Source organism: Homo sapiens, chromosome 2, assembly GCF_000001405.40.
Source record: "Homo sapiens chromosome 2, GRCh38.p14 Primary Assembly".
In the NCBI taxonomy this organism is placed as follows: domain Eukaryota; kingdom Metazoa; phylum Chordata; class Mammalia; order Primates; family Hominidae; genus Homo; species Homo sapiens.
In genome coordinates this window covers 43,959,795-43,987,018 of record NC_000002.12, presented here as the reverse complement: position 1 = coordinate 43,987,018, position 27,224 = coordinate 43,959,795, and the positions used below count along the sequence as shown (strand labels likewise).

General features: G+C 35.8%; 1 protein-coding gene across 5 annotated transcripts in view, besides 2 other annotated features; it reads left to right on the top strand.

Moving 5' to 3' along the window:
* The window catches only part of LRPPRC (leucine rich pentatricopeptide repeat containing), a 110,042-nt gene that overhangs the window by 9,247 nt on the left and 73,571 nt on the right, over positions 1–27,224 (top strand). For all 5 annotated transcript variants that reach the window (XR_007068563.1, XM_047442809.1, NM_133259.4 and 2 more), the window contains exons 2-13: positions 4,585–4,781; positions 7,071–7,193; positions 9,743–9,864; positions 9,967–10,025; positions 10,790–10,876; positions 11,802–11,928; positions 12,261–12,405; positions 12,724–12,869; positions 13,119–13,224; positions 13,305–13,412; positions 23,313–23,431; positions 26,385–26,478. Coding sequence is in view for 4 of the 5 variants with exons in the window: in XM_047442809.1 (XP_047298765.1) it covers positions 4,585–4,781; positions 7,071–7,193; positions 9,743–9,864; positions 9,967–10,025; positions 10,790–10,876; positions 11,802–11,928; positions 12,261–12,405; positions 12,724–12,869; positions 13,119–13,224; positions 13,305–13,412; positions 23,313–23,431; positions 26,385–26,478 (1,433 nt within the window). In the remaining variant the exon portion in view is untranslated. The remainder of the gene's footprint in view (positions 1–4,584; positions 4,782–7,070; positions 7,194–9,742; positions 9,865–9,966; positions 10,026–10,789; positions 10,877–11,801; positions 11,929–12,260; positions 12,406–12,723; positions 12,870–13,118; positions 13,225–13,304; positions 13,413–23,312; positions 23,432–26,384; positions 26,479–27,224) is intronic.
* Positions 335–835: an enhancer, noted in NCBI's record as "H3K27ac hESC enhancer chr2:44213323-44213823 (GRCh37/hg19 assembly coordinates)". NCBI's record gives its function as "activates a minimal SCP1, AML or CMV promoter by ChIP-STARR-seq in primed H9 embryonic stem cells {active_cell/tissue: H9 hESC(primed)}" and the evidence as "EXISTENCE:reporter gene assay evidence [ECO:0000049][PMID:30033119]".
* Positions 2,842–3,042: a silencer, noted in NCBI's record as "peak3686 fragment used in MPRA reporter construct". NCBI's record gives its function as "represses an SCP1 promoter by STARR-seq MPRAs in K562 erythroleukemia cells {active_cell/tissue: K562}" and the evidence as "EXISTENCE:reporter gene assay evidence [ECO:0000049][PMID:32103011]".

The window sequence follows — 27,224 nt, the reverse complement described above, 5'->3', positions numbered from 1 at the left end:
GTGGAATAGTTAAATTAGGGATTGGTGAAAACGTAGGAGATAAATTTGAGTTCCCCATTTTCTACATTACAGTGCAACAAAATAAGTTGAGAGAGCGGCTCTATGAAAACTAGTTTTGTACTTTACAAGTGTGTCATAAAATCCAAATCCCTTATTTATCTGCCATTAGAGACTTTGCACTGTCTAGTCTCACTCTCACTGTCTAGGTTTAATTTTTTACCACTTTCCAGTGTGAACACCCAATTGCAGCCAGATTAGTTTCTTCAATGCCCTTTTGCCACGTTGAGTTCGTTTCAGAATGAGACCGTCTCAGAATGAGACCGTCTGAGTGCTAACCCTGGCCCTATCATTAGCCTTAACTGTGATGACTTTGGGCAAGTTGCTTCAGTTTTTTCATTTGTAAGTTATAATTTTCTCATACCCAGCACAAATTAAACACCTGATAAACATTAGCTATTAATAATGCCTCTTCTGTCTTCTACCTGTATCTACCTTTAAACTCTTGATAGCTCTAAAGTGACACTAAACTGATTCATAATATCAGTGAAGAAGAAAAAAAGTGGAGAGAAGAGTTTTAAGAACGTGTATGGCCTGGGCATGGTGGCTCATGCCTGTAATCCTAGCACTTTGGGAGGCCAAGGTGGGCGGATCGCTTGAGGTCAGGAGTTTGAGACCAGCCTGGCCAACATGGTAAAACTCCGTCTGTACTAAAAATATAAAAATTAGTCGGGCATGGTGGTGTGTGCCTGTAATCCCAGCTACTCAGGAGGCTGAGGCATGAGAATCGCTTGAATCCTGAGGCAGAGGTTGCAGTGACCTGAGGTCGCGCCATTGTACTCCAGTCTGGGTGACAGAGCAAGACTCCATCTCAAAATAAAATAAATAAAAATGGGCAGAAAATACTTCACCAGAAAAGACATATAGATGGCAAATAAGCATACGAAAAGATGTTCAACAGCTTATGTCATTAGAGAAATATAAATTAAAACAACAATGAGATACCACTATCGGAATGGCAACAATCCAGCAAAACGTCGAAAACCCCAAATACTGGCAAGCATGTAGGACAACAGGAACTCTCATTTATTGCTAGTAGGAAAGCAAAATGGTATAGCTATTTTGGAAGATAGTTTGATAGTTTTCTTAGAAAGCTAAACATAGATTTACCATTAGGTATTTACCCAAATGAGTTCAAAATGCATGTCCATACCAAAACCTTCACACAAATGCTTATAGCAGCTTTATTCATAATTGTCAAAAATTGGAAGCAACCTGGATGTCCTTCAGTAGGCAAATGGGTAAACAAATCATGTATATCTACAAAAGAACATTATTCAACAATGAAAAGAAGTGCGCCGTCATGCTGTGAAAAGACATGGAGGAACCTTAAATGTGTATTGCTAGGTGAAAGAAGCCAATCTGAAAGGGCAGCATGCTGTATGATGCAACTATATGACATTCTGGGAAAGGCAAAACTAGAGACAGGTAAAAATCAGTGGTTGCCAGGGGTTCGGAAGGAGGGTGGAAGGAATGAGGAGATAGAGCATGGGGCATTTTTAGGGTGGTGAAATTATTTTGTATGATACTGTAAAGGTGGATACATGTCATATGTTTGTCAAAACATGTATACACACAGTGAACTCTAATGTAAATTATGGACTTTGGTTGATGGATAATGTATCAGCATTGGTTCATCATTTGTAACAAAGATACTACACTACAGCAAAATGTTACTAGGGGAAATGGGAGGGAGAAGAAAGTGGGAACTGTTCTTTCAGTACAATTTTTCTATAAACCTAAAAACACTAAAAAATTGTGGGTTTTTTTCTAGTCAGTCTCTGCTTATCAAAAAATTGTGTTTATTTTTTAAAAAAATGGTACATGCTTAAAAGTAGTGGGGAGGGTCCCATGGAAGCCTGCTTAGTAGGATAATCTGATCCCTTATATCTTTTTTTTTTTTAATGGACATTCAACTATAAGATCGTTTTCTATTGAAGAGTTAAAAAAAAACCCACCTTAATTTTTTTAAAAAAACTGAGAGATAATAACTTTAAATGGTAGATTTTACAAGAAAACATTTATGGGTAATTTGAGTATTAGTGGTAGGAGCTGGAGTCTGGAAGGAACCTGAGACATTTAACTAGGAAATGTAAAGGAGCCAGTATGATACTTGGATGAGATGATACAATAATTTCCCCTTATGTGGTTATATCAATTTTGGTCCTTAGCATTTGGAGGCAGTGAGCTCCAGCTTGTGCAAGCCTGGTGGGTGTGATCTTCTTGTGGGGCCCCACCGTCACCCCTGGACTTGTTCTGTTCTTTCTTTTCTGTGACGACATACCCATTACTCCAGGCTGTGAAACTCTTGTTTCCAGAATGTATTAGAGTGAATTTAAAAATAAGTTCTGGACCATATAACTGAAGAGTGAAGACTTCTTTGGTTAAATATGTAATCCTTCCTCTATCCCAATTTATTTTATAATAGATTCATGTTTCTACTTAATTAAATCCAAGCACACTTATGAGAAGGAGACTCGGCTGCAGTAAAGACATGTATATGAGAAAAATTTGCCTAGAATATTCAGAACAATGTGCTAGTTTATAAACATGTTTTCTGCCTGAAATTTGAGTTGGTCTTCTCTTACATTTAAAAAATATCCTGTAGCGGAAGTTTTATTTTTGCTCTTTAACAGTTTATCAGATTTGCATTGTGTAAAAAACTTTGGCAAATAGACTTCACAATTTTGAAATTTCTGTATTAATCAGCTTTTGTTGTTGACTAATATTATTGCATACTCCTCCAAACTTGACATGTTGTCCTGGACAGTTTAAAAATAATGTCACTTTGTGCTTGCGGGACATTAAGAAGGGGATAGTTTAGTAACAACTGATAGAGCAACTAGATAAATGCCTTTTGGAAGTAAGGGATAAATATTATTTTAAGGGTATATCTTCTGTGGTTTGTAGCTTAATTCAGCTCGTTTGACAAACTCGAGTCAATTAGCCATCTACAATGTGCTGATCATTGGTCTTACAAAAATAAGACATTGTCTTATTTAGTCAGTATCTTGATTTTTTCCATTATTTTATACCTAGATGGTGGAATCACTAATGGTTAGAGTCATGATTTCTCCCAGATCACAGTGGTAGAATTTCTAGTCTATTATCAATTACAGCCTCGTTTTATATAAACTTGAGGTGAAACCTCTAGTATAGTTTCCTTTAGTAAAACAACACATACTTGATCATTCAATTTGTGACTGGTTTTTTCAGATTAATAACATAGGATAGAAATGTAAGTTTTATTTTTAAAGTCACCATTGTGATGAAAATGTGTACGTCTGAAAAATGTGATTATATTATACTTAGTTGTTATATAGTGTATAATATATTTAGTGGCTGCTGTAACTAAGATATTTGCAATAAATGTGTAAACCACTGATAATTAGAAATCATTTGTTAAAAGTGATGTTTAAATGCAGAGAAAGCATTTTTAAATTCAACTCAGATTGATAACAGGTTTCCTTCACACATAAGAATTATTTTTTATCTGATATTTTTAAATCAGGTACAGCTTATATTTTTACCTAGAATAGCCTAGAGAAGAAAGTATATGGGAACTCTACTTAATGCACGATTTTTCTATAAACCTAAAAATATTCTAAAAATTGTGGTGTTTTTTTTCCTAGTCTCTGTAAAAAATTGTGTTTATTTTAAAAAAAGGTACAGCCTAGAAGCCCTCAGATTTCATGTTAGAGAGCATTCGACTTGCATATTAGACTCCATTACTAAAATAGTGAATGGTTTAAAGATTGCTTGCTCTTTGTAAACACATAATGTACTATTCTGACCATACCTAATTTGTAATCATTTTTCTTTCCATTCTGGCTTCCTTAAAATTAATGATGTTTAACACTTTATTTATTTTTGGTGGCAGTTGTTTTAAATAATTAGGAAAGAATACAGCTAACATTTTGACAGTTGCACAGCAGATAAGAATTAAGAGCCTTATCACTATTAAGTGTTTCAACTTTATTTAGACAGATTAGAAATTATTTGGGCCTAAATGATCCTTAAAAAAAAAAACCCTGCATCGTTTTAGCCTGGACATTGGTCTTCTTTTAAATTCATAGTAAGCTTATACCTAGAAAACTTAAAGGTAGTTATAAAAATTTTGGATATATTTTAGATCTCTTGTCTTATTTACAGAGATGAGAAGAGCTTTGCAGCATAAACTGCTTCATCTTCTGTCATTACCTTGTTTTGGTTAAGGAGAGATTTAAAAAACACTTAAAACACACTGTATTTCCATCTGATTTTGAAATCATTCCATGTTCAAAGTTACCAAGATGTTGTCAATTATTCAGGAGATTTACTGTGCATATAGTTTATGTATGTGTGTATATGATTTTATCTAAAGTAAAAGCTAAAACTTTCTTTCCCATTAGTTCATACCTCTATTTTTGGTATTGTACTGTGATTTTAGGTGTTTAATAACTAATTTTAAAATTTGTTTAAGTTTTGTTCAAAAAATGACCTAAATAGATAGCAACTGATTATTATTAATTATGTTTCATTTTTTAGAGGACTACTGAGCCCAGCCAGGCTGTATGCCATTGCTGCCAAAGAAAAAGATATTCAAGAGGAGTCCACTTTTTCTTCTAGGAAGATTTCCAATCAGTTTGATTGGGCTCTAATGAGACTAGATCTTTCTGTTCGAAGAACTGGCCGCATTCCAAAGAAGCTTCTACAAAAAGTTTTTAATGATACCTGCCGCTCAGGTATTTCAAAATTTCCTGTTCATAAAGTTGACTTTTGGCTGGTCACAGTGGCTCAGGCCTGTAATCCCAGCACTTTGGGAGGCAGGTAGATCGCTTGAGGCCAAGTGTTCGAGACCAGCCTGGCCAACATGGCAAAACCCCATTTCTACTAAAAATACAAAAATTAGCCAGGCATGGTGGCGCGTGCCTGTAGTCCCAACTACTTGGGAGGCTGAGGCATGAGAATCGCTTGAACCCAGGAGGCAGAGGTTGTAGTGAGCTAAGATCGCACAACTGCACTCCAGCCTGGGCGACAGAGAGAGACATCTGTCTTTAAAACAAAAAAAAAAGTCTTAAATTTAGGTTGGTGCAAAAGTAATTGCAGTTTTTGCCATTAAACATAATGGCTGCAATTACTTTTGCATCAACCTAAATAAATACTTGAGGGTAAGCTCATTACACAGTAGATTATTTGATACTTTAATTTTCTTTGTTATATTCTGTTGATTGTCATTTATGTTATGATTGTGATTTCTATCTTGTCAACTCATCTGGGCAAAGTTTGGAGTAACTAAAACATTTTTAGATTTTTTTTTTTTGGGATGGAGTATCGCTCTGTCGCCCAGCAGGCTGGAGTGCAGTGGTACGATCTCGGCTCACTGCAACCTCTGCCTCCCGGGTTCAAGCAACTCTCCTGCCTCAGCCTCCCAAGTAGCTGGGACTACCGATGCATGCCACTGCCCAGCTAATTTTTGTATTTTTAGTAGGGACGGGGTTTCACCATGTTGGCCAGGCTGGTCTCGAACTCCTGACCTCGTGATCCACCCGCCTTGGCCTCCCAAAGTGCTGGGATTACAGACGTGGGCCACCATACCTGGTCTAGATGTTTATTCCATATCAGAAAATAAAAATTGTCTTTTTGCTTTTCCTAGTTTATGGAGTCACTTTTAGTAGTAAGTTTCTTGGAAGATAACTAGTTTTTCTTACCTTCCATTGTAGAGTGTCAGGTTTCTGTAAGATGATCATATAAGACAGCTTTCCATTATTTTCCTTTCATTTTCAATTAGCTACTAAAAATCTGTTTGAGTCACTAATGCCTGATGCAAGCTATAGGTCTTTCACTCCCTGCCCCCGACCCCCAAAAGCCTCATGCAAACATATGCATAATTTTGCATGCAGTTTAAGAGGATTCTGTAGCTTCCTAAAGCCTATTCGTGGGTTTCAGACACACTCAGAAGTGTAGATATAAAATCTGATGGTGAGAGATACCAAAGAAGTATTAATTATTACTATAGTTATGTACATTTAAAGACCTGTGTCACATTCTCTCTCTGACTTATTTATTCAACCATCACTACAATCAGTTTTGGAACATTTTCATCACCCCAAAAAGAAATTACCCAACTCCTCATCCCTTCCAGCCGTAGGCAACAACTAGCGTATTTTCTGTCCCTGTAGGTTTGCCCTACTCTAGATATTTCATATAAATGGAATCATACTAAGTGGTTTATTTTTGCTTTGTTTTAAAGTCAGCTTTCAGGGATATGTAGATAAAGCTTACAGATATAGGGAGAGGGAAGCTTATATTGTAGCTGATTATGAACCTAACTTTTCTATTCATAGATGTTAATTACACTGCTTTACAGTATTCTTTCTTTCTCTCTCTCTCTCTCTTTCTTTCTTTCTTCTTTTTTTTTTTTTTTTTGAAACAGAGTCTTGATCTTGTTGTCTAGGCTGGAGTGCAGTGGTGCAATGTCGGCTCACCGCAGCCTCCACCTCCTGGGTTCAAGCAGTTCTCCTGCCTCAGCCTCCCGAGTAGCTAGAATTACAGGCATGCGCCATCTCGCCCAGCTAATTTTATATTTTTAGTAGAGACAGGGTTTCTCCATGTTGGTCAGGCTGGTCTCAAACTCCCGACCTCAGGTGATCTGCCTGCCTCAACCTCCCAAAGTACTGGGATTCGCGCCTGGCCCTTTATACTGTTTTCATAAGATACTGGGAAGTTTAGCCTTTGAATTGTAGCAAGCACTGCCTATAAAGTAGGTTCTTTGTATTTTTGTATTTGATAGAGTTTTGCAGATTACATAGATTTTATAACCTTAGATTTCTTAAGAAAGCAGACTAATATTTAAAGTTTGACTTGTAACTTAGTAACACTGTACATTAGGATAGGATTTTTCTAATTTATGGTTACTCTCAGTTTGAGCCAGAAGATTTTTGAATGCTTATAGATTTCTGTTTAAATTTTGATATTTATCTATGTGATATTGCTGCTATGTTAAATGTTATCCATTAACCTTTTTTCCACAGGTGGCCTAGGTGGTAGTCATGCCTTGCTTCTACTACGTAGTTGTGGTTCTCTCTTGCCTGAACTAAAGCTTGAAGAGAGAACAGAATTTGCTCATAGGATATGGGACACACTTCAGAAATTAGGTATGATTGTTTAAATATATGATGTGTATAAAAGGTGTAGATGTTTTTTCTTTTTGCAAAAAAGTGTTTGTTTACATAAATGCTGTAATTCAGTTTTATGGAAGGGCTACTTGATTCATAATTTTTTGATAATATTTATTTGGTGAGGTATAGTGACATCTAGGGTCATTAACAATAAATAATTTTTCATAACAAGTATTACTTACAAGTACGGTAAGTTAAAAAAGAAAAAGAAGAAAATAGCCGGTTTGTCTGTCAAAGTTATAAATGCACATACCATTTGACCGAGCAGTTCCATTTGTTCGAATTTAGGTACAGATATACTCACATATGCAAAAGGATATTCTTCATTGTAGCTTGTTTGTAATAGTAAGAAATTGGAACCAATTCAAATATTCTTCTCTAGGGGATTAGGTAAATAAATTATGGAGTACCCGTAAAATAGATTACTGTGTAACTGTTTTAAGAAATGAAGAAGCTCTTTATATGCCAATGGGGGTGTTCTCCAGAGTATAAATAAAAATTAAGGTGTAGACCAGTATGTATAGAATGATACCATTTTGAAGAAAAGTGTTTTTACACGTGCATGTGTATACAATATTAAAATATTTCTAGAAGGATGATGAACACTGGATACAGGTTTTACTTGACCTTTTTATACCTTTTCAGTTTTATGTCATGTAACATAGTACGTATTCAAAAAATAATTTGAAAAAAGATGGTTTAATACAATTTAATGTTCATTCCTGATTTAAAAAAATCTTAAAGTATAGAAAGATGCTTCTTTAATGTGTTAAAAATCTAAAACCGACAACAATCATGTATAATGCAATGAAATAAGATGTGAAACAATACAAGAAGTTATTATTTTTAGATGATGTGATTGTTTAATCTGCAAAATCCCAGAAAATCAGCTCACAGTAATTAGCTGGACTCACTAAATGTTTAAGAATCCATACCTCTTCTAGTTATAAAAGAAAATAGAGAAAAGAATCCAAGAAAGTATAGCTACAGATAAATAAAATATTTAGGACTATCCTTCAAAAAGTGAGTAGGACCTATGTGAAAAAAACTACAGGATAAAGACAGATTCTTCCTTCACAGTTTTGAATACATCTAGAATACATTTTGATAAGTTGATTTTTTTTTAAGTTAAAAACTATATAGATAAATGTTGACTTTCAGAATGGAAAAGGATTTTATAAGTATAAAAGGAGCAGAAAAGTAAAGCTAAAATATTGAATCTCTAAAAATTAGAAATTTCTGTATGTCAGTAAGTCATTGAACTGGGAGAAATATATGCAGAAAAGGTTACATTCTAAAATAGAAAAAAGCATTACACAGCAGTAATAACATTAATTCCTCCATATAAAGATTAACAATGTGTTATTATATTAACATTCTTTACAGATAGGTCTCTCCTGTATAAGTGTCTGCTTTATAAGGATGGAATCCATGGCTTCTTTATTTTCCTGTTTGACAGTAGCATGATGCTTTGTGTATAATGGCATTTGATACATACTTGTTGAATTAATATTGCCAGAAACCTTGTAGTTTGCCAGTTTGACTCTTGTTTACAGATTTATAAAGATACAAGAGATCTTTTAGCTTAAGTAACTTGTCCAAAATTACAGAATGAGCTGTTGACAGATCTGAGCTATCTGTAAGATGGGGCTGATAATAGTGTCTCAAAGTTGTTGTGAAGTTTGAGTGAGCCACTATATGTGGAACACTTAGCATAGTGCCTGAAACATAGTATGAAAGAAACATATCTGTTAAGATAAAAATGTGTATTAATTTAATGGAACAGCTCTCTGCTGCCTAAAATCACATACTCTCACCCCCAGATACTAACCATAGGCCTGTATGGTCACAGGCAGTTGAATAAAGATGTGAAATTTAATGCATGAAAATGTAGTGAGACATGTTACCACAAAATTGATATAAAGACCATGATGTCATGACTCAGTAGAGTAAGGCTGTGTGGTAACCTTATTTGATGTGGCCCTAAACAGTAGGGATACAAAGAAAACAAAGGTCATTAGAATACAGATAATTAACAAGAGCATACCATAGATCATGTTCATCAGCTGAAAATGGAATGCATCCTTAAAATGAAGGCTTTGAGTGACAGAATTGCCAGCACAGTCCTACTGTGTGAAAGAACTGAAGTTACAATCCATTCTTCACAGTGTGTCTGTAATGTGAGGACTGCTTTATATAGAAAAATCTTACAGTCACTTTTAAATATAGGGATATTGTCAGCGTTTTCTAACAGGAAGATAATTTTGTGCTTCATAAGTAAGAGGCCTTTTAATATCCGAATAGGCAGTTACTTGTAACTATACAGTAACTCAGTAATTACTGTCTTACATGCTTAGCTTGCTCTGTGTGACAGAGTATCTGTGTAGATAGGTCTGAGCGCCAAGATGGATGGGTGAAATGCTAAAGTGATAGTTTTACTCTTTTTGTTTGTTAAATTTAGGTCCACTTTAAAGCATAGGATTTTCAATGCTTTTCTAAAAATTCATTTTAAATTTCATTTGTAGGTGCTGTGTATGATGTGAGTCACTATAATGCTTTACTTAAAGTCTATCTTCAAAATGAATATAAATTCTCACCAACTGATTTCCTGGCAAAAATGGAGGAAGCAAACATTCAACCAAATCGAGTAAGTAGTTGCTATTGTGAATATATTTTCACATCCACCATTTTTTTTCTTTACTCAGAAAAAAAAGTATATTTAAAATTAACTGGCCCATTTCATTGACAGGTGACATACCAGAGATTGATTGCTTCTTATTGTAATGTAGGAGATATTGAAGGTGCCAGGTATGGATCTGTATGAACATGTTTAAGCGAACAAATTTGTACATTTTGTAAATCTAATGTCTGTTCACTCTTTGTTTTAAAGCTTCTTCCTAATGGAGGAAATTGTTTCAGAACTGTTTTAATCTAGAAAATCTGGTAATCTGACTTACATAAAATATAAAATTATCGTGTAAGAGAGAAAAGATAAGTAAAAGTTGCTATTTTAATTAAAAATTTGATTTACTGGAGAGAGGTATAAAGTTGTTGAGCTATAAAGCTGACTTTGCTTTTTTTTTTTTTTTTTTAAATATTTCCTAAGGGAAATGTTCTTAACCATTTAAGCTGTATTCATTTATAAAACTGGAAGTAGTGTAGAAAATCAGTTGCACCATTTCTCTGCTTATGTAAAATTTATTACTACTTATGAATGGAAGGTTTGGAAAATAAGGGATAAATTGGAATACATAATTTCATTTTTATCTAAAAGAATCTTATGAAACTATGCTTTTAAAAGGGTAATTAGTAGTGTAAGACAAATCAGATAATCAGATTTTTAAAAATCTAGTATTTGTATCGATAGTACTTCAAGACTGTTGATACATTAGAGAGTGGGGTTTTGTGGGAAGGGGATCAAAGGGATTAGTTCTTTCTTTGTGGTTTCTAAAACAAATGTATATTACTATTATATTTTAAAAACAAAAGTAACTCAAGGCCTAATTCTGTACATGTTGTAAAGAGTGTTCTTATAAATACTTTCAATGAGTATCTTCGTTTTTCCTTTGCAGCAAGATTCTTGGATTTATGAAAACTAAGGATCTCCCAGTTACAGAGGCAGTATTCAGTGCCCTTGTGACAGGGCATGCCAGAGCTGGGTAATGTTCAACCTAAGGTTTTGGTTCTTAAGTGATAGATGGCTGAGATGCTAAAGTGGTCATTTTACTCCTTTTTTGTTTGTTAAGTGGGGTTTAAATTAGAGAAAATTATTGTAGACAGTTCTTAAAATACATTTGTCTATCCCTTCAAAAAAAAATCTGTAGTATATGAGGTAGAGCATACTAATATTTTTATAATGAGCTTTTACATTTGTTCCACAAATCTTTCTTTTATTTGAATTTTTAGAAATTGGGCTTGAAGCCGGGCGTGGTGGCTCATGCCTGTAATCCCAGCACTTTGGGAGGCTGAGGTGGGCAGATCACCTGAGGTCAGGAGTTCAAGACCAGCTTGGCCAACATGGTGAAACCCGGTCTCTACAAAAATATAAAAATTTAGCCGGGCATGATGGCAGGTGCCTGTAATCCCAGCTACTTGGGAGTCTGAGGCAGGAGCGTTGCTTGAACCCGGGAGGCAGAGGTTGCAGTGAGCCGAGATTACACCATTGCACTCCAGCCTGGGAGACAGAGCAAGACTCCATCTCAAAAAAAAAAAAGAAAAAAGAAACTGGGCTTGATCTGATCTGAAGTAACTGCTCTGGAAAATATTTTTATTTTTGAAGAGTAATTTACTAAATGTTATTCTTACCTCGAAAGTTAAGTCTGAGTCATAACCTACATAATATTAAGAGGGTATGTTATTTAATGTCTATGTAATTATTATTATTTTTTAATGGGGGATCAGATGTTTATGATCTTTATTATTTCAGAAACATATATCCAGTTTAATATACATTAGTTCTTTTCTGACATCATAATTCCAAATGGTACTTAGCATTTTTTATTTTAATAAGCATATGTTTTAGTTTGAATAACTATATTAAATTTGGCAAAAGCATAATAATCTGTTTTTTGAATTAACTTGTAGTGATATGGAGAATGCAGAAAACATTCTCACAGTGATGAGAGATGCCGGAATTGAGCCTGGTCCAGACACATACCTCGCATTATTGAATGCATATGCTGAGAAGGGCGACATTGACCATGTTAAGCAGGTATGACTTATGTCTAAATAAACATACTTTAAAATCATTTGTAAAAATTTGTGTTATGTTTTACATGAGGCAGGAAAGTGAAGTTTATACCTGTTTTCAAAGATGTTTCCTTGCAGAAAGTAGTATTTATGGAGAATTATTATAGTTTAGTATCTCGGTGCTGGTATGTAACAGTTACTGTTGAAGTAGAGTATTTCCTGTTTTTTAAAAGAAGTCGTAAACCTTTAGGTGGTATTTTTCCCTAGTTTTTTGAATCTGGATATTTTATTTAGCTTTAATACTTAAATAAAAACACTCTAACTTTGTCTTCTAATTTCTGGAACTCTCTATAGACTCTGGAGAAGGTGGAGAAGTCCGAGCTTCACCTTATGGACCGTGATTTACTGCAAATTATTTTTAGCTTCAGTAAAGCTGGGTATCCTCAGTATGTCTCAGAAATTTTGGAAAAAGTTACATGTGAAAGAAGATATATTCCAGGTAGTTTTAAAAAAATCTATTTACATGATTTTTATAAAAATCTGAATTGCTATTCTTACATGATGGAAAGGACATTTTCTAACAATGGGCATTGTGGGAGTTGAACATAGAACTCTTAAAGTCAGTTAAATAAGCCCAAAAACATGAGTTAATGAACACATGGGGATGATTTGATTTGCAGGTGTTTTATTGTTATTTAGGCAGTTATATGCTTTTGATGTTTGCAATTCTTATTTTGTCTTCAGTATTGGAACATTGGTTGCAGTGTAAAAATATTGTTCAGTTTATTAACAAAAGATGTCTTTGTTTTCTTCCCAGATGCAATGAACCTCATTTTACTTTTAGTCACTGAAAAATTGGAAGATGTAGCGTTGCAAATTTTACTAGCATGCCCCGTATCAAAGGAAGATGGCCCAAGTGTCTTTGGCAGTTTCTTTTTACAACACTGTGTGACTATGAATACGGTATTCTGTCCACTTTTACTTTGTAGACAATGTAATTGGCAGTGAAATAAGATTCTTTAAAGTATAGGAACATTTATAAGATTAGACCAGTTGTAAACATCATAACAATGTTCTTGTGTTGCAAGATTTTTGGGTAGAAAGAGGATGCGGGGTTTAAAATGCTCATCTCAGAAGTGGTAGAATATTTGCAGCAGGTCAAACGGTGGGGTGTTTGCCAATCCAGCTAATGTGGTGACTTTTTTCCCACAGCCTGTGGAGAAGCTAACAGACTACTGTAAGAAGTTAAAGGAAGTCCAGATGCACTCCTTTCCTCTGCAGTTCACCCTCCATTGTGCTTTACTCGCCAATAAAACTGGTACTACATTCTTAAAGTTAAAGCCAAGTAAGGAAGTTTTGCTGAGGTAGCTTTGTGATCTTTTATGATATCTCTTTCAGATTTGGCAAAAGCCTTAATGAAGGCTGTGAAGGAGGAAGGTTTTCCTATCAGACCTCACTATTTCTGGCCATTGCTAGTTGGACGTCGGAAGGAAAAAAATGTTCAAGGTTAGATTTTGCCTTTTACCGATTTGTAATGGTTCCCAGAGCCAGTATGACAGTTTGCACGCACATCTAATTGGATTCTTTGGAAAAGCATACTTATTCCTGAGTATTATGAGATAATGGAATTGTTTTAAGTCATCATGAAGTATTATGTGTAAGCATTTTAAAAAACAAAACATGATGGATTTCTTTCATCTGAATTTCATTAATTTCATTTCTTATTTCATCTCTGATCTTGATATTCAAACTTAATGAACGTAGTTTTTTTAAGTTCTTAAAAAAACTCTTTAGTTCTTGATTTTATATATAGTGTTTGAAATCAGATTGTCTACCTTTAATAAAGATAAAGTTGTATATACAATTAGGTTCATGAAAACAAAAAGTATGGTCATTTTCTTTGTGGGCCAATCTATTTCTTTTTAACTGAGCTTAGTTAGAATAATAGGAAAGGCAGGAAAACTTTTATTGTGAAATGAGTACTCATGACCTGACAGCCTGCTGATTGAAGGACAAAAATGTTCAATCTTTCAGGTTCTTAAGTACGTTTAAGCATTTATCATACTTTTCCCTTGTACACATGGGATGTCTATAGGATATGAATAAGAATTGAACAAATATTAAATTTTAGAGTACAGTATCTAATTCTTCGGTTTGCATTATTGGTAATTCAGAAAGAGTAGTCTCATAAAAAGATGCTTTTAACAGAAGTACTTTCCCCTTGGGGAAACAAAAAATGGTCTTTTTCATTTTATCTCGAAGTATAATGTGCTTTGGAATGAGATGCAGAATTGTTAGTGTGACATTGGGTGACAAACAGAATGCACAAACAACAAAAAAAGTGCTTTTAGCAGACTTTCATATTGCAATTTTATTTTAAATGTACAGCCGTCTTCTGGTTTAAAGGAAATAGTGAAACAAGTATTCCCTAATTGTTTCTGGCTATAAAAGTCTCTAAATCCTTTTTAGAAAAATCTTTGTGAAAACAATATGCTAGTTTGATTAACTCTTTGTATATCCTCCAGTCTGAAAGCTCCAAAAGGTAACCTATAACCCAGTGTTTTGGAACCACAGAAAGTTTACATCATTCCATCAAACTCTTCAGGCATGTTAGTATTGTCCACCTTTACACAAGTATGAAAATTTTTTTGGTACCAGTTGAAATGTTTGTTCATCAGGTTAATCTGCTTTCCACAACCATGTCACAGTTGAATTGATTACTACATTTTTACTACTTAGTAAACATAAAAGAGTTAGGTAATTTCTTTCTATGGTTGTAGCAGTTGAAATAGTAGAAAATGGGCTTTATCTCAAATCCATCTTGTCTTAGAATCTCAGAATTTAGATTTTAAAAGTGCTGTACTGAAAGCTCACATTACGTGAATGAAGGAACTGAGGGCCACACAGACATTCAGTGACTGACCTTAGCTTCCACGTCTAGGTGTGATTAGGCTGGGATTAGAATAGAGGGTTTCTGTCCTCCTTTTAAAATATCCTTTTTTATACTATAACCCTTCCATATTCAGCTTTTGTAAGTACTATACTGTGTTTATTTTCTAAAAATTCTTAGCTGCTGTTTAAAAATTAGTTGCCAGTTTTTACACGAATAACATTGCTAAAAGAGAGTGAATTTTTTAATCGATGAAGGTTTTGTCTGAAAAAATATAAAAGTTTATGCTTTTATATTGTGTGTTCTGAGAGTGCAAAAGATTGTCAGTTTTACAATTTTTAAAAACAATATATTCTTCTTTGCAGTAGGTCCTGAAAGATAGTAAAGTATATATTCTACAGTCTTCTTTTATATAACAGAGAAATGGCTGTATGTATTCTTTATAGTTTCTTTAGTGTAAGGTAAGAAAGTAACATTCTTATTAGTGCAATGAACTTGTTCTTTGTCCAGTGAAAGTCACGTATAAAATGGTAGAAATCACAGAAGAAAGTGACTGCAGTGATGGAGGATGTGCTGTGTTTCATGAGGAATAAATACATCTCTTCAGAAAATCAAAGATATTTGGGGATCAGACAAAGTGGAACCAAGAGTTTTCAACAATAGGATAATCAAGTGTCTTTTTTTTTTCTTTTAAAAAACATATATATATATTTTTTTCTTTTTTTTTTTTTTTTTTTACTGTGACACAGCCTCAGGAGGTCCTGAGGGCATGTGCCCTGTATAATAATCAAGTTTCTGTTGAATTTTTCTGGCTGCAAATTTAGCCATCACCAACCTCCAAGAAAGATATTTATAATTACTTCCTCATGGCTCATCTTACTAGTATTTATCTCTGTGGCACAAGTGAAAAGTTATCACTTAGAATAATGCATCTCTAGCCAGTTGGCCTGACTTTCAGGAAATAACCTGTAATGAATATGGATCTATATCCCTGGGCATATTTAGAAAACATAGAAATGAGAATGTGAAAGGGATAAAATACATAAAGAAGGGCTGATCAGAAAGCCCAAATGCCAGTTGAGTGAAGTGGTTGAATAGAAGGAACTTGCTTTTTTTTTTTTTTTGACACAGTTTCGCTCTTGTTGTCTAGGCTGGAGTGCAATGGCACTATCTCGGCTCCCTGCAACCTCTGCCTCCCAGGTTCAAGCAATTCTCTTGCCTCAGCTTCCTGAGTAGCTGGGATTACAGGCATGCGTCACTGCACCCAGCTAATTTTTGGTATTTTTAGTAGAGACGGGGTTTCACCATGTTGGCCAGGCTGGTCTCAAACTCCTGACCTCACGTGATCACCCGCCACAGCCTCCCAAAATGCTGGGATTATAGGCGTGAGCCACCACTCTTGGCGGAACTTACTTTTCAAAGAGGAAGCAGTTGCCTCCTAATAAAGTGAGTGCCGTGGCTAGAGTGTAAAATCCTGTGGAATGAAACAGTCATAGTTGGTGAAAGTTGTTCAGGCAAATCATATATCATTCCTGATAGTTGGTGAGCTGTTATAATTCTCATTAAACTTTTTAAATGGAGACTTTCCTCTAGATTGATCAACTTTCTCATGGCTATATTGAAATATTTTTATTAGATTATTTAGTCTTAGTTTAGACTTTCTGTGTTCACAGAGGTTTGGAATCTATTTATATCTAAGTTAATGTAAGATTATTTTAATCTTTTTCTTGTGAAAAGAAATGTGAATTGTATTTTTTATTAGAATTTGTTCAGATAGATCAGTCTTTCCTTCTTATTGGTAAGTGCTTCTATCCCCCCATCTGACTATAGTTACTGAACAGAATATCTTTCTTTGTCTGCTCTCTCAGGCTGCCTGAGCGAGTGATTGAGCAGAAGGTGGGATCCCAGGTTTTCTTGAGCCTGCTTTAGTTTCAGTTAGAAAGATAATGTAAGTTAAAAATGCCAGCAAAATAGATAATGTAAATGAGCAGAACATACTCCTCCTTCTGATAAATGTTACTGGAAAAATGAAGAACTAAGAGAATGAAACATATTTGAGGCTTAGAAGATGGGGTGAAGGGTTTCCTGTAAGAATAAGAATCTTGTAGCTGCAGTCAATTTGGTGGCCAGTTTTCAAACACTGAAAAATCTATCATCTGAGAAACTTTTCAGGATTATGTATTATTACAGTATTTTGATACAGCTGAAAAAAATTAAGTTATTATTGCTCCTATTAACATTTATTTAGGCTGGGTGTGGTGGCTTACACCTGTAATCCCAACACTTTGGGAGGCTGAAGTAGGGGCATTAGTTGAGCCCAGGATTTTGAGACTAGCCTTGGGAAGTTGGCAAAATCCTGTCTCTACAAAAAAATAGAAAAATTAGCCGAGCGAGGTGGCATACTCCTAGCTGCTTGGGAGGCTGGGGTGGGAGGATTGCTAGAGCTTAGCAATTGAGCCTTGATCGTAGCCACTGCAGTCTAGCCTGCGTGACAAAGTGAGATGCTGTTTCAAAAAACAAAAAAATCAAAAACAAAACACCACACACCCAGTTATTTAGTAGTTTTAGGATTCTGCACATATTTTTTCCTTTAAATTTAGTGACTACCCTGAGAGTTAAGTGGGGAGCTTTATTATCATCATTCCTATATTGGCAACAAGGAGCCACTGAAAATCATCCTTTTTGGTGGCAGAACAAGGACTTAATCCCAGTTCTTTCTGATTGCAGGAAAAACATGTAGGCTTTAGCATTTTTTGTAGTGTAACAAGCACCTGCCAGGAATTAAGAGACTTGGTTTCTTTTTTTTTTTTTTTGAGATGGAGTCTCGCTCTGTCGCCCAGGCTGGAGTGCAGTGGTGATGTCGGCTCACTGCAAGCTCTGCCTCCTGGGTTCACGCCATTCTCCTGCCTCAGCCTCCCAAGTAGCTGGGACTACAGGCGCCCGCCACCACGCCCGGCTAATCTTTTGTATTTTTAGTAGAGACGGGGTTTCACCGTGTTAGCCAGAATGGTCTCGATCTCCTGACCTTGTGATCCACCCGCCTCGGCCTCCCAAAGTGCTGGGATTACAGGCGTGAGCCTCTGCGCCCGGACTGAGACTTGGTTTCTTACTCAAGTTATGCTTGTGATCTTGGAGAAATTACTTTATACTTTTGTTAGAAGATTCATTGACTTTCTTTACCCCACTTTTAAAAATTGACACAAACTATATATATTCAAGGTGTACAATATAATGATTTTATATACAGGTACATTGTGTCCTGATTACCATAGTCAAGTTAATTAACAACCATAAACCTTCAACACCCATAGTTAACCATTTGTGTGTATGCCTGTGTGCATGAGTGTGGTGAGGACACTTAGAATCTGTTCTTTTACCAATTTCAAGTCAACAATACAGTATTACTAATAGTAGCCACCATGCTGTACATTAGAACCCTAGAACTTACTCATCTTATTAACAGAAAGTTCGTGCCCTTTGACCAATATCTCCCTCACCCTAGTCCCTGGCAACTGCTGTCCTACTTTCTGCTTCTGTGAGTTTTCGACTGTTTTTTATTCTAATGTAAGTGAGACAGTATTGTCTTTCTGTGTCTAGCTTATTTCACTTGATTAGTTGACTTCTAAAGGCATTTCAGCTTTCTTTATGTAGAGAAGCACACCCAAACCCTGATTGAAACCTTGGAGTTTGACATACTGATCTAAGCCAAGTGGTAATATTGAAAATTCTTTTTTTCCAGAATGTTATAGTTCTGTTGTCTGCAATCTTGCCCTAAGAATTTAGACCACAAGAATTTCTTCCATGCCTATGTATAATATTTCAGTTCTTGGAACTTCCATCTATTCAATAGGCATAGACTCTTATAGGTCAGAAAATTATTCATTAAGTGCTTCGACACATATTGCCTTGCATAGTCCATGGATGGTAGTTAGAAAGATTTAGCAAAGGAATATGTGTAAAAGCGTCTGGAAGCACAGTTCCTGGCATATTTCCATTTCTAGTGTGTAAGCCACCAAATTATGGCTCAGAAACATGCGACAACTTGCTTAGATTTACATTGCTATTAAGTACCAGAACTAAGGGGGAGAGCTGGGTCTTTAAAGTCCAAAGCCTTTTTTTTTTTGTCATTTCACCAGAGTATCTCACCAGCAACTTAGCCGTTTACTTTAACTAAATAATAATTGTCCTGGAAACAATTATTACTGGTCAGAAAGGACACTGAGGACATAAGATTAACACAAATCTATTACTAGGAATTCAGAAGCAACTTAGCTATGTCATCATGTCAGGTGCTTAGTAATCTTTTCATATAAAGAAGAGCACAGTGGGATTTGCCATCTTTTATGGTAGTTATCAAGGTTGTTAGTAGTGATACCCAGTGAATTATTAGAGGAATAGTTTAAATTTCGCTTACAAGTATTGTTAGGCTTCTGTGTGCAGTGTGGACCAACTCTACATGCATGTTCTCTTAAATTTCAGTAAGCACATGCTTTGTTTAGGGATTTTAAAAAACATTATTATTATTATTTGAGACCGAGTCTCGCTCTGTTGTCCAGGCTGGAGTGTAGTGGCGTGATACTGGCTCACTGTAACCTTTGCCTCCTGGGTTCAAGCAATACCCCTGCCTCAGCCTCCCCAGTAGCTGGGATTATAGGCGCCTGCCACCATGCCTGGCTAATTAAAAACATTATTTTTACATCTTGAAAAATACATTTAAACCTCTTAGATTTGAAGATATTAGGTTATTTATTTATTCTTCCCAGCCAACTTTACTGAGGTATGAAGGATTAATAATTGTGTAGCTAAATCTATATCTGTCTTTCTATCAATCGATCATCTATCTATATGATAAACAACATGATGTTTTGGAGACAGTGTCTCACTCTGTCAGCCTTGACCTCCCAGGCTTGAGATTTTCCCACCTCAGCCTCAGTGGGACCACAGGCTCATATTACCATGGCTGGCTAGTTCAAATAATTTTTTTTGGTAGAAACAGGGGTCTCCTTGTGTTGCCTAGGCTGGTCTCAAATTCCTGGGTTCAAGCAATCCTCCCACCTTGGCTTCCCAAAGTGCTGGGATTACAAGCATGAGCCATCTCACCTGGCTACATTTTGATATGTGTACACATTGTGAAGTCATTACCACAGTCAAGCTAACATATCCATCACCTCAGCTAGTTATGGAGGCTCTGTCACCCAGGCTGGAGTGCAGTGGGGTGATCTCAGCTCACTGCAACTTCTGCCCTCTGGGTTCAAGCAGTTCTCCTTCTTCAGCCTCTCTAGTAGCTGGGATTACAGGTGTGTGCCACCACACCCAGCAAATTTTTATATTTTTAGTAGAGATGGGATTGTGCCATGTTGGCCAGGCTGGTCTCAAACTCCTGACTTCAGGTGATCCACCAGCCTTGGCCTCCCAAAGTGCTGGGATTACAGGTGTGAGCCACCGTGCTGGGCTTTTATTTATTTTTTTATTTTTATTTTTTTTTAGCTAGTTACCTTTTTAAAAATTTTGTATTGGCCGGGCGTGGTGGCTCATGCCTGTAATCCCAGCACTTTGGGAGGCAGATGCAGGCAGATCACAAGGTCAGGAGTTTGAGACCAGCCTGGCCAACATGATGAAACCCCGTCTCTGGTAAAAATACAAAAATTACTCGGCGTGGTGGCGTGCGCCTGTAGTCCCAGCTACTCAGGAGCCTGAGGCAGAAGAATCGCTTGAACCCAGGAGGTGGAGGTTGCTGTGAGTTGAGATCGCACCATTGCACTCCAGCTTGCACAACAAGAGCGAAACTCCGTCTCAAAAAAAAAAAAATATTGTGGCCAGAACACTTGAGATCAACTCTCTCAGCAAATATCAAGTATTCTGTACATTGTGTCCAGAACTTATTTACCGTATAACTGAAAATTTATACCTATGGACCATCATCCCTTTTCACTCACACCCCAGTCCCATAACAGAGTTCAACTTTTTTTTTTTTTAGTAGATTCCATATATAAGTGAGATGATGTAGTATTTATCTTTCTGTATCTGGCTTATTTCACTTAGCATGTGCTTCAAGTTCATTCATGTTGTTGTAAATGACAGGATTTTCTTTGTTTTTAAGGCTGAATAATATTCCATTCTATATGTGTATATATGCCACATTTTCTTTATCTGTTGACAGCATGTTTCTACATCTTGGGTACTGTGAATAATGCTGGGATGAACAAATGTTTCTTCAAGATAGTGATTTTATTTCCTTTGGACATATGCTCAGAAGTGGGATTGTTGGTAATTCTACTTCTAAGTTTTTCAGGAATCTCCATACTCTCCCACCAACAGTAGACCAGGGTTCCCTTTCTCTCCATCCTCACCACTGTCTAATCGCTTTTGACTTTTGATAGTAGCCATTCTGACAGGTGTAAGGTGATATCTCATTGTGGCTTAAATTTGCATTTCCCTGATGATTAGTAATGTTGAGCATCTTTTCATAAACCTGTTGGCCATTTTTATGTCTTTGGAAAAATGTGTATTCAGATCCTTTGCCCATTTGTTAATTGAATTATTTGGGGTTTTTTTGCTATTGAAATTTGTGAGTTCCTTATTATATATTTTAGGTATTAGCCCCTTATCAGATACGTGGTTTGCAAATATTTTCTCGCATTCCATAGGTCGCCTTTTCATTTTATTGTTTCCTTTACCGTGCAGAAGCTTTTTAGTTAGATGTGGTTCCACTTCACTGTTTGTTTTTATTGTCTGTGCTTTGGTCTCAAGTCCAAAAAGTCGTTGTCAAGGCCAGTGTTTTCTTCTAGGAGTTTTATGGTTTCAAGTTTAAGTCTTTAATCTATTTTGAGTTGATTTTTGTGTATTGTATAAGATAAGGGTCCAGGCTGGGCGTGGTGGCTCATGCCTGTAATCCCAACACTTTGGGAGGCTGAGGCGGGCAGATCACGAGGTCAGGGGTTCAAGACCAGCTTGACCAACATGGTGAAACCCCATCTCTAGGATCACGAGGTCAGGAGTCCAAGACCAGCCTGACCAACATGGTGAAACCCCATCTCTACTAAAAATACAAAAACTAGCTGGTCGTGGTGACGTGCGCCTTTAATCCCAGCTACCCAGGAGGCTGAGGCAGGAGAATTGCTTGAACCCGGGAGGTGGAGGTTGTAGTGAGCCAAGATCACACCACTGCACTCCAGCTTGGGCGACCGAGCAATATTCAGTCTCAAAAAAAGACAAGGTCTTGCTATGTTGCCCAGGCTGGACTTGACCTCCTGGGCTCAAGCAGTCCTCCTGCATCAGCCTCGTGAATAGCTGAAACTATAGGTGTGAACCACTGCCTGCAGCTCCAGCACCATTTATTGGTACCTTTGTCAAAATTAGTTGATTATATGTGTGTGGGTTTATTTTTAGATTCTTTGTTCCGTTGCATTGGTCTATTTGTCTGTTTTTAGGCCAGTATTAGGTAATTTTGTATATGGTGAACTGTTTAAAGTTAAAATATTCTGATTCATAACCTAAATTTTAAAAAAAATTATAGTTTTTTTTTTACATAATTAAATTTTATCTAAAAGAAATGTGCAGGTATTTATAATGTAGTTAGACTTGCTTGTGTTTTTCTGTACTCAGTAGGAATTTACTGTCAATTATTTGTACTGGAGTTCATCATGTAACAAATTCGAAAGAAATGTAATTTATCTTTAGGTCTCTAGTAGGCCAGAAACAGGGACTTTTAGGGGGAGTTTTAATAATGTGAAAGTAATGAAGCTGAAGATAAGTAAGTTTTTAGAAGGAGAAATAAGAATGTTCTTTCTTTTTATTAAACTGTAGCCTCTGTCAAATTAGGTGATACTTGAGTAATCTGACAGTTGTCTAGAATTAACTGGATCTATTTGAAACTCACTGTAGCTCTGAAAACATGAAATGACTTAATTTTTAAGAAGTTATTAAAAGAGATTTTTGTGAGTGGGAAATGAGATAGAGGAAACAACTTATTTGATTTTTAAGTTAGTTTTAAATACAATTAGACAATAATTCATTAAATTGTTCTCTATTAATTTTTCCTTCTTACATTGTAAAATATGAAATCAGAAATTAGTAACAATTAGGGAACTTTTTACATAAGTGCTTAATTGAAAACATGTTTTGAAATCAGTCACTTCTCTTTGCAGCATTTATTCTGGTCAAATTTTTTGTGTACAAGTCCATCATTGCTCTATAATAGCAGTGTTGTATTATAATCACTGTTTGGGGTGCCAGAAATGTTGGGCACATTGCTTAATTGTTTCAAGTTTCTTTATACTTATAATTTCAAGGATAGTTTCTTGAAATTTACTGTTTCACAGAGGGGGATGAAGAAAGGAGGAGTTAATTTTTTTATCATTGTATCTCACAGTGTTTCTTTTCTGCCTTTTAGACAAACGAATTGCTGAGTAATTTTCTTATACTGTGATTCAGAAAATAATTGAACTGAACTTACCGATCTTTTCTTACTTTATTCTAAGTTCTCTATCTCTGTGCTTCTACATTTTATTTGGTAGGTATAATTGAAATCCTCAAAGGAATGCAAGAATTGGGAGTACATCCTGATCAGGAAACATATACAGATTATGTGATTCCATGCTTTGATAGTGTAAACTCAGCACGAGCCATTTTGCAGGTGAGTACAAGTGTGGTTTTAATTTAATAATTGAAGAGGATATCTTTCCTCCTTAATGTTTAGTGTTGACACACAAAAAAGTCATTGAACTGAGGACTCAAAATGGTCAAATCTGTATACAATTTTCTTTTTTTCTTTTTTTTGAGATGGAGTTTCTCTCTCATTGCCCAGGCAGGAGTGCAATGGCACAATCTTGGCTCACTGCAACCTTTGCCTCCTGGGTTCAAGCAATTCTTCTGCCTCAGCCTCCCGAGTAGCTGGGATTACAGGCATGCGCCACCATGGCTAGCTAATTTTGTATTTTTAGTAGAGACAGGGTTTCTCCATGTTGGTCGGGCTGGACTCAAACTCCCGACCTCAGGTGATCCACCTGCCTCAGCCTCTCATAGTGTTGGGATTACAGGCATCAGCCACCGCGCCTGGCCCTGTATACAATTTTCTAAAGCTTTGTAAAAATATTAGTTGGTATAACATTTATAGTGGTTAAACTTTCAAAACTCAAAAAGACAAAGCAGCTTTTTTCTTGTGTATTAAAAAGACAATATGCCAATATCGGGAAAAATTAAAACAATATTAACTCCTAATCCCATCCTGAAATGCCCCTGCAATTTTCATTTATAAATTAGGTTTTATTTTATTTTATTAAAGAAACAGGAGTTTCAGTATGTTATCCAGGCTGGTCTTGAACTCTGGGCTTAAGCAATCCTCCTGTCTTAGCCTCCTGAGTAGCTGGGATTATAGGCACATGTCACTGTGCCCTGCTTCAGTTTTCACTTTTTGAATATTATTTTTCACTTCCCATAAATTTTCATAAATGCACTAATAGTATATATACTAGTCTTTCTGTCTCTCTCTCTTTTTTTAAACTTCAAACCTTTGTTTTTCTACCAGAAGTTTTCTACTTCTGGTCCTTAGCAGAGTAGGCAAGCTGTTGATGAAGAGGCACATGAAGATGTTGATTGGGACAGTGCATTGGATTAGCAAAGGTTGCGTTTTCCACTTTCAAAACAGCATGCTTAGCGCTGAATATATGAATTACAAAAACAAAACAAAAAGTGCTGTGCAGTTAGGAACAAGTTGGCAGAGCACCTAATACCTAATAAGGAACATGTTGTTTAAGAGATGTTTCCTACACAGTCATTCATGTAATACCTTGATTTTTCTAATAATGTTAGAGTGTTTCTTTCATTAAAATAATTACATAATTACAGTCTTCTGAAGTGTTAGGGTTTATATCTTCAGTGTCTTCACCTCTTTCCCTAAGTTCTTAGTGGAGTATGTTGAGCCTGTACTATACATATTTTACTGTTAAAAAAAATTTTTTAAGTAACTTTCCCACATATTCTTACTTTTTCAGATGTTTTCTTTCTTTGCAGAAATACAGCCCCCAGATCAGTGTCTTTGTGGTTACTGCTTTGGCTTTCTCACTAGTGACTTATCTTAGGGAACAGCAGATCTAATTTGGAAACTTATCCCAAATTTGGTTACATTCATTCTCATCTCAACTATGTTGCCTTCATTGCTGGAATTTCAGTAGTATTGAGTGTTTTGGGATTGAAAACAACTACTCTGTTAAGTGCTTAATAGAACTCACAGTATTGATCTGCTTTTTTTCTTTGTTTTTTGAGGCAGAGTCTTGCTCTGTCGCCCAGGCTAGAGTGCAGTGGTGCGATCTGGTCTCATTGCAACCTCCTCTGCCTACCGGTTCAAGCGATTCTTCTGCCTCAGCCTCCCAAGTAGCTGGGATTACAGGTGCCCACCACCACACCCAGCTGATTTTTGTATTTTTAGTAGAGATGGGATTTCACCATGTTGGCCAGGCTGGTCTCAAACTCCTAATCTTAGGTGATCAGCCTGCCTAGGCTTCGCAAAATGCTGGCATTGCAGGTGTGAGCCACTGCGCCCTACCTGATAATGCCTTTTGTCTTCAGCTGGGCATTAAAAAGTACATTTTTAAATTAGTTTTCAGAAATTACATAATAAATGTTTGTTGATAAATTAGAGAACACAAGTAAGTGGTAGGGCTGTACAATCTGTCCATAGTTCCTTGAGATAGTCATTGCTTAGCATGTATGTTCTTTCAGATGTATACTAGGCTGGAGAAATCTCTTTTAGCAAGAAAGTATACTGTTCATATTATCGAGCAACTCTTATTATACTGTTCCTATTATCCACCTAACTTGACAGAGGCTATAGTTTAATAAAAAGAAAGAACATTCTTATTTTCCTTTTAAAAACTTACTTCTTTTTGCCTTCATTACTTTCAAACTCCCCCTAAAAGTCTCTGTTTCTGGCTTACTAGAGACCTGAAGAAAAATTACACTTCTCTCATATTTGTTTCATGATGAACTTTTTTTCATTTGACACCTTTTCATAACAGTATTTAATTCCACAAAATATATTTTATGCTTGTATGCTGTTTCATTGTATGGGTATGCCATAATTTATTTTTTATCCTTGCTTATTGCTGATTAAGTGGTTTTTTAATATACTATAATAAAATGATTCAATAAATGTATTTGAGCTAAATTTTGACTCATATATTTAAATTGTTAAACAAATGATGTTGGGACAAGTGATGAGCCTCTATGAGTTAAATTACATTAAATTAGATCCTGGCCAAACTGTATGCCCCAAAATATTTTAGATTAATGCATTGAATCTTTGTTTTGTCTTGAATGGGAGAATTATTCTAGTGTCCTCAGTAGTAAACTCATCCTGGAAGTAAGGCCCTCTAAAGGCATCAGACCATCTGTATTTGAAGATAAGCATTTAACTTAGAATGCTGAAATGTCATCTTTAAATTTTTGCTAAAATTCAATTACTGAGCTTATCTATTTTTCTAGAAAATCAGAGAATATGGTGATTCAAATAATCAGGAAAACAGGATCTTTGGCTTATCAAAATATTGTTAGCTGAGATGTATTCTCATTGATATATGCTTTATCTCCAGGAAAATGGATGTCTGTCTGATAGTGATATGTTTTCTCAAGCTGGATTGAGAAGTGAAGCAGCAAATGGGAACTTAGACTTTGTATTATCATTTTGTAAGTATACAACATTAGCGGTAAACTTGATAGATGTTTATTTCAGTTACTATTGAGGGCATGCAGGGTGGTTCACGCAATGAAAGCAAGGAAGGTTTATATGTTTTGTTAAAGCCAGACTGATAAAACGGTTTATGAGTTGAACTTGTGGATAATTTGGAAGTAATTTTAATGTTATAAGGACATTGAATATTATATGTAATATGGTGTTAGACTGAAGGCTGGACCTGGAGACCCTGAAGACGTGGATATTCTTTATAATTTGGCCACCGATTATGTGATTTAGAAGAAGTCTTCTAACCTCTCTGCTTCACTTTTACTAAACAGGGATAGTACTACCTAACTTGGGGGAGTTGTGAAAATCAAATGCGGTATTGTTTCTGAAGTGTTTTTTAAACTAACATCTATTATAAAGACTTCTAGTCTTCATTAACAAAAACACAGCAAATGTTTACTAAACATTTTTAAACACTAGTGTGCTTTATAATGCTCATCACATGTTAATACAATTATCTCCATTGATAGATGACTAAAGGCATAGAGAAGTTAAATGATTTGCCCAAGGTTAGTGATTTGAACCAGAAGTAAGATGTTCAGACTTTAGCTTTGTTCTTTTCACCATACTGCACTTTATTTTATTTTATTTTATTTATTTTTGAGACACAGTCTCACTCTGTCACCTAGGCTGGAATGCAGTGGTGCGAACTTGACTCACTGCATCCTCTGCCTCCTGAGTTGAAGCGATT